This window comes from Homo sapiens, chromosome 5 (genome assembly GCF_000001405.40).
Source record: "Homo sapiens chromosome 5, GRCh38.p14 Primary Assembly".
In the NCBI taxonomy this organism is placed as follows: domain Eukaryota; kingdom Metazoa; phylum Chordata; class Mammalia; order Primates; family Hominidae; genus Homo; species Homo sapiens.
In genome coordinates this window covers 117,403,796-117,423,142 of record NC_000005.10, presented here as the reverse complement: position 1 = coordinate 117,423,142, position 19,347 = coordinate 117,403,796, and the positions used below count along the sequence as shown (strand labels likewise).

The window sequence follows — 19,347 nt, the reverse complement described above, 5'->3', positions numbered from 1 at the left end:
AAAAGATCAAAAAGCAATAAAAGTAAAATGCATACTAGAAAGATTATTAACAAAGCTAAAAATTCTTTTAAATAATTGATAAAATTAACAGGCTACTAACAAGATTTAACACACACACAAAAGAAAAAAGACAAATTCCCAAATACAAGTATTGAAGGGTGCAAGTTAGTTGGATCATATTCATTAATAAAGAGTATTATGCATAATTTATACTGATAAATTTGACAGAGTATATGAAGTACAGAAGTCTTTAAAAAATACAATTAATAAAAACTGATCAGAAAAAAATAACACAAAACCATGATAGATATCAATCTGAAATCAAATTTTTTTGTTGATAATTCTTAAACTGGTTCCACAGTCTTACACTAACTTTTTCAGGAAATATAAGATGAATAACAGTTTCTAGGTCATTTTTTAATTGTAGTTTAAACTAAGTTCAGATCCTGCAAAGGACATTATTCATGAACATTGACACAGAAATTTCTAACCAAATATTAACACGAGAGATGACATCTGCTGGCTCCAAATTGAATTTTATGTATTGAATCCAACAATACATAAAAGACATAATACATCATTAACAAGTGAGTTCTATCTCAAGGGTGCAAGGTTGGTTCATTATTCAACAATATAATTCAATCAATATAATTTACTGTTTTTATGTATATGTTTTATATATCCATACCTTAGGTCAATTGTTCATGCAGAAATAGCCTATAAAATTATAATAATAAGAAGAAACAAACACAATAACCTAAAACAGAAAATGTTGGAGAAGGGGGAAAATCTGATTTCAGAAGTTATCACATTATTACATTCGAATGTTTTTTTAAAATAAAAAAAGAAGGCATACAAAGAAACAGGAAGGTATCACAATTTCAAATAATAATTATCAACAGAACTCTCCCTGAGAAAGACCTAATGGCAGAACTACTAGACAAAGACTTTAAACCACCTATCTTAAAGATGCTCAAAGAACTAAGAAAAGATGTGAAGGAAGTCCAACAACAGTAAAAATATTAACAACAAAAAAAATTTCAAAGAGAAGCAAACAAAAAATTATAGACCTGAAAAGTACAACGTGACATAACAAATTCACTAGGTGAATTCAAAGGCATATTTGAGTGGACAGAGAAAATGATCAGCAAACAATAATAGGAAAATGCAAATTACTGAGTCTGAGGAACAGAGAGAAAAATATTTGAAGAAAAGTGAATAGTACCAGAGGGACCAATGGAATACCATCAAGTGGACTAACATGCATACTATGTGAATCCCCAAAAGAGAAGAGATAGAGAAAGAGGAAGAGACAGTATCTGAAGAATTAAAACTTCTAAGTTTGATGAAATACATAAATACAAACATCCAAGAAGCTCAAGGAACTCCAAGTAAGATGAACTCAAATAGATCCATACCAAGACACATTATAAGCACATTTTTCAAAACCAAAGACAAAAAGAATATATAGGAATCAGCAAGAGGGAAGTAACTCATTACATACAAGTGATCTTCAATTGGATTGTCTGCAAATTTTTCATCAGAGTCTTTGGAGACTAGAAGGTAGTGAACTAATATATTCAAAGTGCTAAAAGAAAAAAAAAAACTGTGAACTAAGAATCTTATATCCAACAAAAGTGTTCTTCAAAAGTGAGAGAGAAATTAAGATATTCCAAGATAAACAAAAGCTCAGAGTGTTTATTACCAGTAGACTTTCTCTGCAAGAAATACTCAAAGGATTCCTCCAAGGAAAAATTAAGGACACTAAATAGAAACATGAGGCAAAATAAAGAAATATTTTGTTACAGTTAAATACAAGAGCAATTACAGAAGCAAATTAGATAACCTAGAAAAAATGTGCAAATTCCTGGAAATACAAAGCCTGCTAAGACTAAGTCATAAAGAAAAATAATGTCTGGTCAGGTGCAGTGGCTCATACTTGTAATCCCAGCAATTTGGAAAGCCAAGGCAGGAGAATCCCTTCAGCTCAGGAGATTGAGACCATCCTCGGCAGCATAGGGATATCCTGTCTCTACAAAAAATTTAAAAAATTAGCCAGGCATGGGTGGTATATACCTATTGTTCCAGCTTTGTGGGAGGCTGAGGTGGGAGAATCACTTGAGCCTACATGTCAAGGCTGCTGTGAGCTGTGATTGGGCATTGCACTTCAGACTGGGTGACAAAGCAAGATCCTGTCTCAAAGAAAAAAAAATACAATAGACTCTAACTAACAAGGAGATTAAAACAGTAATCAAAAATCTCCTGACAAAAAGATAAAAAAGCAGGAATTAACCAATGAGGTAAAAGACTTGTACAATGAAAACTATAAAAGTTGTTGAAAGAAATTTATATAAAATCTTCCAAAATTGATATAAAATCTTAAGAAACCTCAGATAGCCCAAGCAATTTTATAAAAGAATAAAGCTAGAGGACTCACACTTCCTGATTTGAAACTTACTATTATACAAAGCTCACTTAATTAAAGCAGTGTGCTACTGGCATAAAGACAAACATATAGACCAATGAAATACTATAGAAAGTTTATATATAAGCCTTCATATATACAATCCAATAATTTTTGACAAGGTACCAAGACCTTTCAATGGGGAAAGGACAGTCTTTTCTAGAAACAGTAGTGGGAAAACTGTATATCCACATGCAAAATTACAAAGTTGGACTATTACCTAACACCAAATACAAAAAAGTTAACTGAAAATGGATCAAAGACCTAAATGTAAAATCTAAAATTATAAAACTGTTAGCTTTAAACAAAAAATAAAATCTTCATGCCATTGGATTTGGCAGTTATTTCTTAGACATAACACCAAAGGCTCAGATGACAAAAGATAAAAGTAGACAAATTGAACTTCATAAAAATTATAAAAGTTTGCACATCAAAAGATACTACTTTCCCAGAGTAAAACAGCAACCTACAGAGTGGGAGAAAATATCTGCATATTACATATATGATAATGGAACAATATCTAAAATGTATACAGAACTCAACAACAACAACAACAAAAAAAAAAAACCCAATTCAAATCCAGGCAAAGGACTTGAATACAAAACTAATGAACAAAGCATATAAAAAGATGGTAAATATCGCTAAGCATTAAAGAAATGCAAATGAAAACTATACTGCAATACCACCTCATGCCCATTAGAATGACTATCACTAAAAAAAAAAAAAAACAGAAAATAACAAGTGCTGGTCAGGATGTGGAAAAATTGCAACCCTCGTACACTGTTGGTTGTAATGTAAAATGGTACAATCGCTGTGGAAAACATTACAGCAGTTCCTCAAAAAATCAAAAATAGAATTATCACACCATCCAGCAATTCCATTTCTTGATATATATCCCAAAATTGAAAGTGAGGTGCCGGACAGATACTTGCATATTTATGTTCATAGCAGCATTATTCACAATAGGTAAAATGTGAAAGTAACGCAAGTGTACATATACAGATAAATAAATAACCAAAATGTGGCATATACATGCAATAAAATATTTTTCAGCCCTAATAAGGATGGAAATTCTGATCTATATTAAAACATGGATGAGCCTTGAGAATATTATGCTAAGTCACAAAAAGACAAATAATACATTATTTCAGTTATATAAGGTACCTGGAATAGTCCAAATAATTGGGATAGAAAGTAGAAAGTTACTTTTCAGGGCCTGGGTAGAGGTAGAAACAGAAAGTTATAATTTAATGCATATAAAGTTTGTTTTACAAGATTAAAGAGTTCTGGAGATGGATGGTGCTGATGGTTGTGCTGCATTATGAATGTGTTTAGTACCACTAAATTGTATACTTTATATGGTTAAGATGGTAAATTTTATATTATATGTATATTATCACAATAAAAAACTGCAAAAACAAGTAAAAACCAAACAAAAAAACCCTTTCCTCAAGTAAATGGCAATTCTCATTAGTACCCTGTACATTTGATCTGCCATTGAATCACAATGGCATTCTAAAAGTTTTGCAATAGTTTCTTGTTAATAGGTCATTTTATTCCAAATTGTTTTTGCTTTGTGACTTATTGCTGCTGTAATATTTGATAGTTTTATGATTCATATGTTTGCTATCACACTTTTCTCAATGAAATGTGATTTTATATCATATGAAATATTTTTCTTTCATGTACAGTATGTGATACCAACATTACTCTCCCTGGTTTTCTTATCTTCCTATTTATCTGATATATCTTCATCACAAAATGAAGTTTTAACATAAATAAGTTCATTCTAAAATGCTTTCCTATGTTATTAGAGAATTCTTCTCATTCAAATTTATTGTCATATTGCTATAATGGGTATTTTTCTTATTTTATGATTTTAAAAAATATTTGATTTTTTCTTCCTAAATGTTTTGAAGAAAAACATGGCTATTTTGAAATTTGTATGGTGAATAATTTATTTCTGTTCTTCAAAATTATTTGTTTTAGGTTCACTAAATTATTAAAGTCATGATCAAAACGTTTGATAACATTTCTAGAGCAATGAGTTGATCTTTTGCCATAGACTTTTTTCACAGTACAATGAAAAGCATGCATGGCCTTCACCTGTTTAGGTGAGATTGGTTGGTAACAGCAAACGTAAGCCAAGGCAGGTTAAAAGCTCTTTTAGAACCCAATTAATAACTATATATCAAAAACTACAAAGAGTTGCTATACACTTTGTGACTACAGGACAAAACTATTTCACTCATATTGGGCCCAGAAAGGAGGTTTAAAAAATGACAAATATCTATACTTGTATTTAATACATGTTCTCCTCACTTGTCATCTAGCATGACTTTACATCCTAAGACAAAAAAATGTAATTAGAAACAATTTAATATTTGTTAATGAAACACATAGTCAAAACTGGTGCAACCAGTTATTTTCATTTAGCTTCAATCACCGTGATGTATTTGCCTCAAGGGGTAATTAAAAAAAAAATCCTTTGAGTGAGTTATCTGTAAAGTTATCATAAGTATTGTTTACAGAAAGCAGTGACTTTAATAGTCATTTAAGGCTTGACGATCAATGAAGTCCATAAAGCCAAAGATAAACAGGTTAATTAGAAAATAAAAATGTTTTTTTCTTGACCATTTTAAGAATAGTCTTGAAATTATTTATCAGGTCATAATTGAGTTGATAATGTGCAAATTCATGTGGTTTTCTTATTCGTTAGAGTTGATGGGTTTGGAGTAGAAATGAGGAGTTGCTTGCAATAATAGAATCAGAATATATTGTGATTGGAAGACACACTAAGTTCTTTAGTCCAAATATCCTCAAGGGGCTTACTCCATATGAGAATATCATGTACTTCACCAAAGGTCAAAAGATAATGGGCATTTTTTAAAAAATCTTTCTTATAAACATGCACTCCCCTGCTTGATCTCGATATTGAGAGTTCTTAATTTATTCTTAAAGGCTATGCTCATTAGATTTTTGAGTTTTAAAAGGACAACAATAAACTTGGAGGTTTGGATATCTGATTATCTGTTTATGTGATTTTAATTAGCCATGGACTCCAGCCTAAATATTTATTAGTTTTCTAACCTTTTGTTGGATTGCTACCATTAAACATCCTCTGACTGTTGTAATGATGTAAAGATAATATGGGCTGACTGAATGGTTTTCCAGGATGTTTATTTTAGGATGTGAAGGTTAATCTCCACTTGCTGTTCAGATAAAATTTCTCTCTATAATTAAAATCAGCATATGCCCCCACATAAATCAAGAGAGGTTTGTTTTAATAAAATTAAATTGAATTTGAGAATTTTTTCCTCAATGATAACAATTAGCAACAAGCGAAATGAACATTTAAACGAAATACCTGAGCAAATCTAAATAATATGTAAGTGAAGCTATGAGCTAGATTGTTCACTGTTGCAAATATTTTGAAAATTTAAAGAAAAATAGACACTAAGAAATAAGTAATTTTCAATCTAATAGGTACTACTTTTTGGCTTAAGCATCTAAGTTAGGAAAGTGGAACTTAAACCACACTAAATTATGTACTAATCAATGAACAGATTTGTTACATTTTTTTCCTTTTTATTCATTCATGCTGTGCCATAAATGCAGTATCATAGACACTGATTAAAAGCATTTTATAAAATGACTTCATGCATGGCATTTATGTGAATTCGAAATGAGAGAAAGTAGTTTCAAAGCGTGTTACTCATTTAACTCTATATTTCAGAACCTATTTTCACAGATGTTTGAAGAAATAGCACATGTGCTGGATTTAATTGTAGATAGCTTATTTGGAGAACCAGAAATGCACAACTGTCTTTCATGAGTTTCTAGAGAAATTCTAGAGAATTCAGGTGAAGCTCAGCCAGATTGCCTGCCTGTTCTCTTCGTAAATGGAGCTGTAAGTGGTATGCCTGCCATTAAGCGACCTCGCCTTAATCCTCCTGCTAGACCCCTAGAACATTTGACTTGCTGAATTTTAATAGTCAGACAATCTGTTTGGATTGTAATTTGATAATGTTTTTTTGATTAGCTAAAATTGTGCATTTAAACATTCACATCATATTTTCTGAATAAAAATTAGCATGTAAATAAATAAGTTGCCATTTTCATAATTATTATGACTTATGAGCAAAATATTGAGACCGTGCTACTTCATAAATGATAATTTTAAGACAGTGGAATAGGTGTTTATTTATGAATTTTAGAACAATGATCATGAATGAAAGATTCTCACCTCTAGGGGATTTTATGAATTAATGTACATGAAAGCATTTCATCTACTATATGCTTTATTGCTATTACAATGATTTGAGGATTTGAAGCACTGTCTGTATTTTATAAAATGTATTTTCTGCATCATTTCTTTTAGGAATCAAAAAAGGCAACAAACCCATACTCTAACTAGAAATGAAGAGGGATAAACAAACCTATTTAAAATACCATTATATGTTATTTTTAAAATGTTGTCCTAGTTCCATGCTCCACTGAAACAGCTCTTACTAAAGTCAACAGTAATCTCATTTGTACTAAATATAACAGTCCTTATTTTACCTGAATTTGCAGCGCCATCTAACATTATTGACCAATTTTTATAATACTCTCTTTTCTTGGCTTTTATTAGGCAATACTCCCTGATTTTGCTTCTACATCCCTTCTCTATCACTCCTTTTAAATTGCAAGCACTTTGTTTACATAGAAAAACATTTTAAGTTTTAACTCTAAAGCCTCTTCTTCTGTTGTCATTCTTTCTTCTTCCACCATCTCATTTATAAACACTATATTACACCATATACAAAAAATTTACAAGTGTATATCCAAGTCCAGATTTCTACTTTGAGTTTCAGACTTCTCTATCTAATTAGCATCTTGACATCTACTTGATGTCTCAAAGGTGACTCAAAGTCAACGTGTCCAAAAATACACTTACCTCTTCATTCAAAACTGGTTTTCTGCCAATGTTTCCTCTCAGTGAAAGGTATTGCCATCAATTCAGCCATTCTATCAGAAACCTGGGAGTCAAGCTTGATACCTCTCTCTAATTCACCTATACATTGCATCTATTACCATGTCCTGTCACTTTTGTTTAATATAAATATAGATAGATGTAGATATAAATAAGTAGATATCTAAACTCTCTAGAGTTGGCAGAGATGCTTTCAGAATAGAAACTAAGCAACATTCTGGACCTAACTCTCTCAAAAACAATTGCATCAGCATACAGGATTCCGTAGAACTTAGCTTAAATGCCAGGCTACTGAATGGGCTGCTTAATACAGAAGTTCCTAACAACTCTAAAATTCTCAAATAGTTTACCAATTTTAGACCATAGCCCTTTAATTTGTAAAGAAAAATATTTTTAGAAATTCAAAAACTTTCTTTTATCAAGTCATGATTGGCTAGATTGTGGTTGTTCAAACCACGTCAGAATCTCCATGATTTGAAATGGTATGGCTTATTTTAAATCTCTGCTTTGTGTCTATCTTGGATGGCTAAGAATTCTGGTATGCATTGTTCACAACAAAGCATTGTTCATATCCTGGAGCCAAGCAGATATAGCAGCCATGACTGGGTATATTGTCAGAGACACAGATAACTCTAGATCAGTAATCAAAAGAATATTCTGTCTCAGCTGTCAAATATTATGGCTCAGAAGTCACACACATCATTCCTGTTCAGAACTCATTGGCCAGCCACATTCAGTCACATGTCTATCCCTCTCATAAGAGGGCCAGGGAGTGCCTAATAGGCAAAAAGATGAGAACATCTGATGAGCCATATTAATGACTTCCACATTACCCAAAAGAATTGTTATATTAAAACATGATTTACTAAGCAAAAGCTAAAGTGTTAAATTATTTGGATGGCTAATCCTATTGTTTCCCAAATCAGTTTTGGATTTGCAATATTGTATAAGGAAGTCAGTATTTTCCCACATTTTCAATAAAATTATTATTTTAATAATACTTCTATTTTCTTAGCTCTTCAAATAGTAAATGTTCATTGGGACACCCCATTCCTTAGTGAAACTTTATGAAAAGCAGAGATTATCCAAAAGTGACACATCTTTCTTCACTTCTGATCTTTAACTATCTCCTTTAGAACAGAGAAAGTCTTACTTCTTTGGAAATAAGGTCCGTTGAAATGTCCTTAATTCTCACCAGTCTCTGATAGCATATTCTCACTTCGTAGTGGTAGAAAGAAATGTGACAAATTTTGAAGGTCTATTGGAGCTCTCTAGTGCTAACTATGCTAACTACTTTGCTTTACATTCACTCTTGGTTGGTTGTTGTTGTTGTTGTTAATTTCAATTGCCCTTTTTAGTGAGTAGCTACAAGCAAAATAACTGTATTTCCTCAAAGAAATATGATTTTCTTAGAAATCCAACACATCTGAAAGAAGAAATGGTGCACAAAATTTCAAAAGTAGTTCTGCTGTCATGAAATTTCTCATCCCCTTCTCAGGCTAACAAGGAGCAACTAAGTCAAATATATCTTGCTTCTGGCAAAATCTTTATGTGATACTATGGATGCCGTCATCTGGAACTTGATTTCCAAACTGTCTCAGAAAAATATTTCCTTTCCATTCAACATCAAAGACCCTTCTTTCCAGCCATGGGAGTCTCCTGACAAGAAAATTTTTAATGCTGTCTTTAAATGGAACATCGAGTGACTGCAATTCTATTATTGGAGGGTAATATGCCTGATTGGCCAAGGCTACAGGAACTTTATTTAAATTCTTCAATAGGGTAAAAGAGGCACTCAGATCGCTTTTTTCACAGCTATGGCTAAGTCATATAATATGATTTGGCAAGTGTAGATGACATCCCATTAGAGTATCTCTAGGTGGCAAGTCCCGTAAGAAACTGTCATGAGCCCGTATATCAACCTGTTAAAGTGACTTACACGTTCGCATTCTTTTTAATGAAAAGAACAAATTAGAATTCAAAGTGTAAAATAATAGGTGCTCAACTTTGTGAACTCCATGATCACATTTAGCTTTATAAAAAGCACCCATCTGATTTTCAGGCCCTGCAAACTATCACTGAGGTTATCAGAAACTTTTATAAAATGAACATGGATATATTTTCTTTTTGTGTTGCATGTCCCCAAGATGTGTCATATATATAGCTCTTAAGTTTTGACTGATAACCCTAACAGAAAAGGTAAAATTTCATCCAGGGAGTATTCTAAAACACTGCATATTTTGCAGAACTAAATGGTGCCGAGGAGCAATGAATTAACAGTTGAGACATAAACATGCTGTCCATTAACAGTGATTGATCACTAACTGGTATATATGGAATATACGTATAGTATGTTTGTTTTTGCTCTCTTCTTTTGTTTCTTTTTTTTTAAATTGCAATTTAGCTGACAAAGGAATTTGGCTGAAATGTAGTAACAGCGGGCAGAGGAAAACATGAAGAAAACGTTCTCGGCTGAGTGCTGGTAACTACTAATCCATCAATTCTTTGCTATTTGCTTTTTACAGAAAATTGTAATTGTTATTTTATTTTGTAGATTACCAAAAAGATTTCATCTCTTACTCTGATAAAATGTTAAAATGTAGAGGAGGGAAAAATAATATATTTGACATCCATTATCTCTAGTTGGGTTTACAAATATTACGACTCTGTATAGACTCTGTTTACTGACTCTGATTCTGCAGCAGCCTTGTTATAATTCACTGTTATTATCTGTCTAATCAGGGGATAAAGGCAGAGTGATTTGTGCCTTTAGGCAAACTTTTCCTTAGACTCATTATTTCTGTTTTCATTTGCAGCAATTTAGTATTCTGCCCTAGTTTCTGATTTCTTAAAGAATGACAATTTCAAGCCAAAACTAATCTTTCCTGGGTGTGCATCAGTACTGTTTAAACCTATTGCACCATATAAATAGCACTCAGGAGGCTTCCATAAGAAACTCTGCTACATGGCATATTCTATCCACCTCCTTAAAACTTGATAGCTCTCACAGCTGCTGACACCACAACTAGCCATTGAATGAGCCTCTCAGGTGCTGTGTGTGGTATCAGAACAGATTATTATTGACATTGTTTTCTTATGAAAATATTACTAGTTATGTAATCTGAAAATATTTACAAAATTATATTGCAGAACTGGATATAATTTTAATAGGTCATCAAGTCTTCAGGGAGTATTGTACTATCGGGGGACCTTTTTGTGTTTCCTTGCATTTTAAAGATTCCTTAAAATCCAGCCATTAATGCTAAAGTTCTCTACAAATATATCTCTTGCATATATTAGCAGTGATGGAGATGGTAGAACTGAAAACACTGATTCAAAAAATAACTTGTAAATATTGTACAAGAAATATCCACAAGAAAACCAGAGGAAACCAAAGACCAAAATGATAAAAGAGGTGAAAAATAGATATATCTACTAGAGCAAAAATACTAAGTATTTGAGGCTTACATATTGCCTCCCTCTAAACAATTAAGTGGTGATTTCAACCATGCCCATAAAAATGTTACCTAATTGTGAACAACTGTTTTTCATTTGCACTGGAAGGGATCTTTTAGTAAAAGCAGGTTTATTACCTGAGTTATCTCAATAATTGCCTGAACACTGTAATTTGTCTGTGGAACACAAGCCAAAAGGAAGAAATAAACCTAAAGTGATTGCTAGGCATTAAGGATATCACCCTTCCTATAAACACTGAGGCTTATGGCCTGCTGCTAACAAAGGAATGTAAGGACTAACAGACTTTATTAAGAGGATCCACTCCATTCTTTAGAGATGATTAAGCATAATATTATCCAAAAACAGGAAGGTGAGCAAGAAGGGCATTGTGTTTGCTTCTGATTTCATTATTTCATTTATTCACTGAATTAATTCATGAAATGTGTTCTTCTCCTGCACTTCCTTGTTAGACAAGAAGGCCCTGATGAGACCCTAGTGAGATACAGAGAAAAGATACAGATCCTGTTTTCAAGGTGTTTCCAGGGATTTCACTGAGCTGAAATGCAAAAAGATGGAGGGATTCATTCAGAACAACTGAACATCTTGAGCAAAGGCCAAGCTGGGCACAGAATGCAACACAATCACAAAGGATTAGCACAAGAAGAGCCAGTGAGTACCAAGGATTTTTGTTGGAACTCAACTCCATACTCCAATTTCAAGTAACAGCCTAGAAATAATTTAGGAGGTGAAAGAGTGAAGAGAGTAGCTTTATGAAAAATTCCTGCTCTCAAATAGAGTATCCTTTCATAAATGAAATGATATTTGAAGCCCGGTCATTTGAAATGATTTATATTTTTTGTTGTTGTTTTTCAGAAGCCACAATCCTCATAAATTTAAAGCTACACTATTTTGTCTGTGGAGAAAGTTCTAGGAAGCTTTTATTTGCAAGTTAGTATTTTCACCATATTAGTAGAAATCAAATAAAATTTCAACACATTATTTTTATTTTTAAAAATAAATGATAAGTTCTGGTTTTCAGGATATGTTACTGATGTGGGCAGGAGAGAGAGAAAGGTAATAGCAGTCTGGCTTATTTCGGTGAAAATTTTCTACTGATATTTCATTGCCAACATTAAATTACAATACTATGATTCTTGAGTGTATATCTGAATGCCCTTTTCTACTCAACAAACATTTAGTGAGCATCTACAATGTGCCAGTATTTGTCTGGATGTTGAGGAAGGAACAAAACAGGAAAAAAATTCTGCTTTCATGAAGCTCACATTCTAAATGGGACAGGGTATATAAAATTCCAATGTGTAAGTAATGCACAATGCATACATATCTGATTTTGATTATCAGAGAGACTAAGTAACTTCTAGAGAACTGAAGCAGTTTCATGAATTCCTTAATGTGAAGCAAGAAATCTCACTGCTGAACACATCCAGCCTGTCTTAGACTTTCTTGAATTCATTATGTTTACCCAATTTGGGGGGAAATGCTATGAGCTGTTGAATACCCCCATAACTCAGATATAGCAATATCACTCAACACTTACTATGCTGGCAAGTAAAGAGAGCTTGTTGCCCCAATTTGAAAAAAAATGAAATGTTTAAAAAATTAGTGAAATGTTGAATATTGTACCAAAATAAGACAATAATAAGTTGAAAAATGAATAAAACATTTTTATACAATTGAATTTAAGAGCTGAAAGGAACCTTGGAGAAAATGTAGTCCAAACTTCCCCTTTTTTATATTAAAATTCCAATACATAAGCAAAAAAACAACAAAAATAACTAACCAAAGTCCACAAGGTTTTAAGTCAAGTGGACATTAATATAAGACTAAAAATTAGGGATCATGATTGCTATAAATTAGTGATCCTCATAGTGTGATTGAGGATCCCATGGGATTCTGAGATCTATTCATGGAACCCACAAAGTCAAATCTATTCTCTTAATAGTAATGGAACTTACTATCTTTTTTACTTTATACTCTCATGGTGAACCATCAAGTTCTCCAAAGGCTATGTGATATATGATACTACACAGATGGAGTACAGACGCCGATATGAGTACTGGCTGTCTTCTAGTAAACAGGTGATATTTGCAAAGGTGTAACAGGTAATGAATTTATTATTATTTTAATAAATGCATAAATATATATGTTGACAATTTATTTGCCTTAACTTCTACTTTTAATAGATATAACCCATATAAAAATAGCTCTTTGAGTCACTCATAACTTTTAGGGATACAAAGAAAATCTGAGACCTGAATCTAAGTAGCAATTAACTCATCTTGTTAACATCTCAATGCTGAATTTGTATAGTGTATAGATTTTAACAGTTATTAAAAATCAAAAACAGTAGTGTTTACAATTTATTGGGTGGCCAATATATGCCAGTATACATATAGAATTTAGCAACAATTGTACAAGCCAAGTATTTTTTCTCCATTTGATAGAGGAGAAAGCTGAGAATAAGCAAGTTTACATTGTCAGTGGTCAAACACCTAGTGAGTGATGCAGCCCATTTTCGGACCTACTTCTCTGAAACTACCACTTGTCTTCTCAATAGTTCCAGGCTAGTTAGAACTCAGTTAAGCAGAGTCTAAGCCCCCCTATTCCCCTATCATCATTCTTCTCTGCCTCAGATTCATAAATTACACACACACACACACACACACACACAAAACAAACAAAACCAACAACAACAACAAAACAATAAAAGAGGCTGGGAACGGTGGCTCATGCCTGTAGTCCCAGCACTTTGGGAGGCTGAGGCCAGCAGATTAGGAGGCCACGAGTTTGAGACCAGTGTGGCCAACATGGTGAAAACCTGTCTCTACTAAAAATACAAAAATTAGCCAGGCGTGGTGGGCAGGTACCTGTAATCCCAGCTACTCAGAAGGCTGAGGCAAGAGAATTGCTTGAACTCAGGAGGCAGAGGTTGGAGTGAGCCGAGATCACGCCACTGCACTCCAGGCTGGGTGACAGAGCAAGGATCTATCTCAGAAAAAAAAAAGAAAGAAAAAAAAAAAAAAGCAAATCTGTAGAGATATATAAAGTCGTGGAATTCAAATTAGGAAGTTATAAGCCAAATATATATATATGTATATATGTATATATACATATGTATATATATGTAGAGAGAGTACATAGAAGACTGCATGAGAATAAAATATGTAAGCGGATAAGCACAATGTGATCAAGCAGAAATGAAGACAGAAAAAATATGATGGACTCAAAAGGGAAATAAACTCTTAAACAACCTCATATAAAGTGAGCAAAGGACATGAACAGATACTTCTTAAAAGAAAACATGCATATGGCCAACAAGCATATGAGAAAAAGCTCAAAATCACTTATCATTAGAGAATGAAAATCCAAATCAAAAGCAGATACTATTTCTCACCAGTCAGAATGGCTATTATTAAAAAGTCAGAAAACAACAGATGCTGGCAAGGTTGCTGAAAAAAAGGAATGCTTATACACTCTTGGTGGGGGTGTAAATTAGTTCAAGAATTGTGGAAGACAATGCGGCAATTCCTTAAAGACCTAAAGAAAGAAATACAATATGATCTATAATATTGTTGACCCAACAATCCCATTACTGGGTATATATCCAAAGGAATATAAATCGTTCTCTTATAAAGACACATGCATGTGTGTGCTCATTGCAGCACTATTCAGAAAGCTAAGACATGGAATCAACCTAAATGTCCATCAGTGGTAGCCTGAATAAAGGAAATGTAGTACATAAACACCATGGAATACTATGCAGAAAAAAAAAAAAGAATGTGATCATGTCCTACCCAGGAACATGGATGGAGGTGGAGGCCATCATCCACAGCAAACTAAGACAGCAACGAAAAAACGAATACCACATGTAAATCTCACTTACAAGTGGGAGTTAAATGATGAGAACACATGGACACATAGAAGGGAACAACACACACTGGGACCTATCAGGGTGGAGAGTGGAAGGAGGGAGAGCATCAGGAATAATAACTAGTGGGTACTAAGCTTAGTACCTGGGTGATGAAATAATCTGTACAACAAATTCCCATAACACAATTTTACCTATATAACAAACCTGCACATTTCTCCTGAACTTAAAATAAAAGTTGGCTGGGTTCAGTGGCTCACGCCTGTAATCCCAGCACTTTGGGAGGCCAAGGCTGGTGGATCACTTGAGGTCAGGAGTTTGAGAACAGCTTGGCCAACATGGCGAAACCCCATCTCTACTAAAAATACAAAAATTAGCCGGATGTGATGGCGCATGCCTGCATGCCTGTGTGTACTTGGAAGGCTGAGGCAGGAAAATCACCTGAACCAGGAGGTGGAGGTTGCAGTGAGCAAAGATTGTGCCACTACACTCCAGCCTGGATGACTGAGGGAGACTCCATCTCAAAAAAATAAAATAATTAAATAATTAAATTAAATTGAAGTTAAGCAAAAACAAAAACTCTCAAAAATGTGTCTCTTGAAAGCAAAGAAAGCAGAATAAAAGCTCAAGTTTGTTTAAATGAAAAAGGTAGTATGTTAAAGGTGGAGGGGGGAATAGAATGGCAAGCCAAAAAATGTTATGTTCCAAGATATATGTAAAATTTAAAAAGAAGTGAGAGATGAAGCTGGCTGGACTTCTGGGTCTGGTGGGGACTTGGAGAACTTTTCTGTCTAGCTAAAGGATTGTAAATGCACCAATCAGCACTCTGTAAAAACACACCAATCAGTGCTCTGTGTCTACCTAAAGGTTTGTAAACACACCAATCAGCACTCTGTAAAATGGACCAATCAGTATTCTGTTTAATGGACCAATCAGCAGGATGTGGGCAGGGCCAAATAAGGGACTAAAAGCTGGCCACCCCAGCCAGCAGCAGCAACCCACTTGGGTCCCTTTCCACGCTGTGGAATTTTTGTTCTTTAGCTCTTCACAATAAATCTTGCACTACTCACTCTTTGGGTCCACGGACTACCTTTATGAGCTGTAACACTCACTGCAAAGGTCTGTGGCTTCACTCCTGAGGTCAGCAAGACCACGAACCCACTGGGAGGAACGAACAACTCCAGACGCACCACGTTTAAGAGCTGTAACACTCACTGCGATGGTCTGTGGCTTCACTCCTGAAGTCAGCAAAACCACGAACCCACTAGAAGGAAGAAACTCCGGACACATCTGAACATCTGAAGGAAAAAACTCCGGACACACCATCTTTAAGAACTGTAACACTCACTGCAAGGGTCCATGGCTTCATTCTTGAAGTCAGCGAGAACAAGAACCTACCAGAAGGAATAAATTCCGGACACAGAAGAAAGAGGAGAAAGGCAATAGAAACATTTGTAAGTGGATGTTAGAAAGATTCATAATGAATAAGAAATGAAATGAAATGAGTATAGTTGGCATTATCTTAGACATAATTAATAAAAGAAAAATATAGAACATGTTGTATAGAATGTTTTAAATAAAGTAAGGTAAATATTAGAACTGGACCAGAAACTAGGCAAAAAGTATGAAATAAGGGTTTTATTTATGTGTATGAGGTTAGGATGATTTTGGTGAGCAACACATCTGCTGAAGGAATTACTTTCTGGCAATACTAAATTGTTAATACAGTTAAAAAGATGTATTTGATGGAATATTTTTCTCAAATTGGCTTATAATGAATTATTCAAATTTGCTTTCTCTACACATTTTAAAAATGATAGAAATTTTGAAATCTGTCTTTGTTTTATATCCCTTTATATCCTCTAAAATAGATTTTTCCTCTTTTGCTGACGTAATTGATTAGGGAGTAGATAAAAAAAAAAATGGTTTAAACACCAAATATATACTTTCCCAGTGAGAATAGTTAACAAAGACATGTGGATGATAACTGTGAAGTCCATGAACTCCAGAAAGCTGCATAGATGAACTATAAGCATTTCTACCCTAAAAGTAGGGTGCCCAGGAGGCCACTCTCTTCCAGCTGAGCATCAGCCGTTACTGTGAGAGCCAAAGTGCAGGGACAGCGACCCAGTCGCAGCAAGTACTGGTAGCATTTCCTCTCTGGAGAATGTGCTAGGATCAGTTTCAGATCTGTGATTTTTCTTTCTTTCTTTGATCTACTATTGAATAGTTATGGAGGGATAAAGATGGAAAACTATCTTCAAATGCCACTGAGTACAGTCAATTATTTTTGTGTCTCAGATAAATTTAGGAAATGAAACAAACGAGCTGGAGCAGAAAAGGTACTTATTCTAAAGTTGACTTTGAATTTCTGCATCTCATAAATCAACACCTTTGCTCAGTCAACTTCCACAATTTGAATGTATTTTTAGGAATATTAATATTTGCTATTAAAACATGCTCTCTCCAAGTACCATGATAAGTGGCTTTCTAAAACTGTTACAGATATTTTATTACCATCATTTCATTTTAAAAATCAAATAATTCTCATGGAAATTGAGTAACTTGTCCAAGCCTATTCAACTAGTACATTTCATAGCGAATAATAAATCTGGATATTAATGACTATGCCTTTGTTTTTTAACCTCCCGAATAAAACTGACTTGGGAGTGGGGCTCATATTTCTCAAAATATCCTGGTACACAATCAGGACAAGTAATCATTACCTTATACCCACAATGTGTGGAAACAGATCTGCAACAGCCTTGGATATATGAATCATCATCTAAATGAATATGTTTAAAAAACAAAACTGAAATGAAACAAAAATCCACCGCATTATCTGCACCCGGAACTCAAATCAACCTGTCTCAAAACACTGTAAATGAACCTGGTTACATAGTTCAGTTGGTTCATACACAGTCTGCAAGTGTGAATGTAGACAGGACTATAGGGAACAGTTAGATAATAGTCCCTTCTCTCCCCTTCCACCCATTTGTTTAAATGCCTTGTGTCTCCAACTTAGGGCCAATAAAACAATAAAAGAGAAAAAATGTGTTTGAAATCAGAACATGCTATAAAATAAAAAGTAAATAAAAGCAAGGAGGAAATACAAGTTATGAGTGGAGAAAAGAATCATGGTAGGTGCAGAGTTATCATACAGGGATTTCAGCCTTCACCCACAGCCTCCTTCTCTTCATTTTGTCCACATATATGGCATAGGTGTTATCTGCAAGTGTTGTAAAGCATATCTTCAATTTTTGGCAGTAATTCAGAACTGAGCAACTTCATGGCACGTGAGGAATTTTGTCTCATTGGAAAAAAAGTCAGAATAATGATACAATTAAAATTAAAGTAACCAGTAAGATAGGGAAAATAAGGTTGGGCTAGAAAAGCCCAACTTTCATATTCATGAAAGTATATCATGAATAAGAATTTAAATTATCAATGAAAAATATGGTATTACTGAGCTAGAAGAAAATGTCATTTTCACATTACTGAAAAGAGATGATTGAGCACTTTTACTGAGCAGATTTAATAATTTATACCAAGATTAATCAAGTAATAACAAAAGTAACAACCATTCATAGAGTGAGGCACTGTGTTAAGCATTTACATTTATTTAATTTCTATAATTTTATAAATAGACATTAACCATATTTTATTGAGGAAGATTGAGATTCAGAAAAATTAAGTCATTTGTTTGAAATTACCTATTAAAAGTAGCAGCAGAGCCAAGATTGGAACAAAGTTCTCTCGAATCTTATAAAGTGAATGAAGACCTTATAAATAAAACCCATAGCGTTATTAGAAGGAAGGGTCCGGGTGGGGTGGCTCACACCTGTAATCCCAGCACTTTGGGAGGCCAAGGCGGGCAGATCATGAGGTCAGGAGACGGAGACCACGGTGAAACCCCATCTCTACTAAAAATACAAAAAATTAGCCGGGCGCGATGGCGGGCGCCTGTAGTCCCAGCTACTCGGGAGGCTGACGCAGGAGAATGGCGTGAACCCGGGAGGCGGAGCTTGCAGTGAGCCTAGATTGCGCCACTGCACTCCAGCCTAGGTGACAGAGCGAGACTCCGTCTCAAAAAAAACTAAAAAAAAAAAGAAGGAAGGGAGTGTGTGGACTAAAGTAGATAGGAATGTTCCATTCAACATTTAATGATATATGCCGAGTAACTGCTTTATCACAGTCTCTCAGTAAACATGATCCATTTTAGGTCATTATGATTGATGTAGAATAGGCTGATAGACACATGGATAAATCAGAAAGCACTGTAATCTAATCTTTCAAAATGAACTGAAATAATTTTTTTTAAATTATTTGAGTGACAACATAAGGCAGAGTGGAAAAAATTTAGAACTGAGATTATAGAACTGGGAAAGATTTAGAAAAGTTATTTAGAACTGAAGACTAAACTAGGAAAAACACAAGAACATGTAAGCATAACAGATTATGACTGAGAAGGACAAAGGTAAAGAGAAGGAAATATTTTGAAATAAACAAAAAATAAAAAAATGCTATATAAAAATATGAGAAATGGTAACAGATGTAGGAGAC

The 19,347-nt window shown here is 33.9% G+C and overlaps 1 long non-coding RNA gene across 1 annotated transcript in view, besides 2 other annotated features; it reads right to left on the bottom strand.

The window, feature by feature from the left end:
- The window catches only part of LINC00992 (long intergenic non-protein coding RNA 992), a 164,233-nt gene extending 156,602 nt beyond the window's left edge, over positions 1-7,631 (bottom strand). Inside the window, exon 1 of the long non-coding RNA NR_046089.1 lies at positions 7,404-7,631. This is a non-coding gene — a long non-coding RNA (long intergenic non-protein coding RNA 992). The remainder of the gene's footprint in view (positions 1-7,403) is intronic.
- Positions 18,278-18,778: an enhancer, noted in NCBI's record as "H3K4me1 hESC enhancer chr5:116740061-116740561 (GRCh37/hg19 assembly coordinates)". NCBI's record gives its function as "activates a minimal SCP1, AML or CMV promoter by ChIP-STARR-seq in primed H9 embryonic stem cells {active_cell/tissue: H9 hESC(primed)}" and the evidence as "EXISTENCE:reporter gene assay evidence [ECO:0000049][PMID:30033119]".
- Positions 18,803-19,003: a silencer, noted in NCBI's record as "peak5430 fragment used in MPRA reporter construct". NCBI's record gives its function as "represses an SCP1 promoter by STARR-seq MPRAs in K562 erythroleukemia cells {active_cell/tissue: K562}" and the evidence as "EXISTENCE:reporter gene assay evidence [ECO:0000049][PMID:32103011]".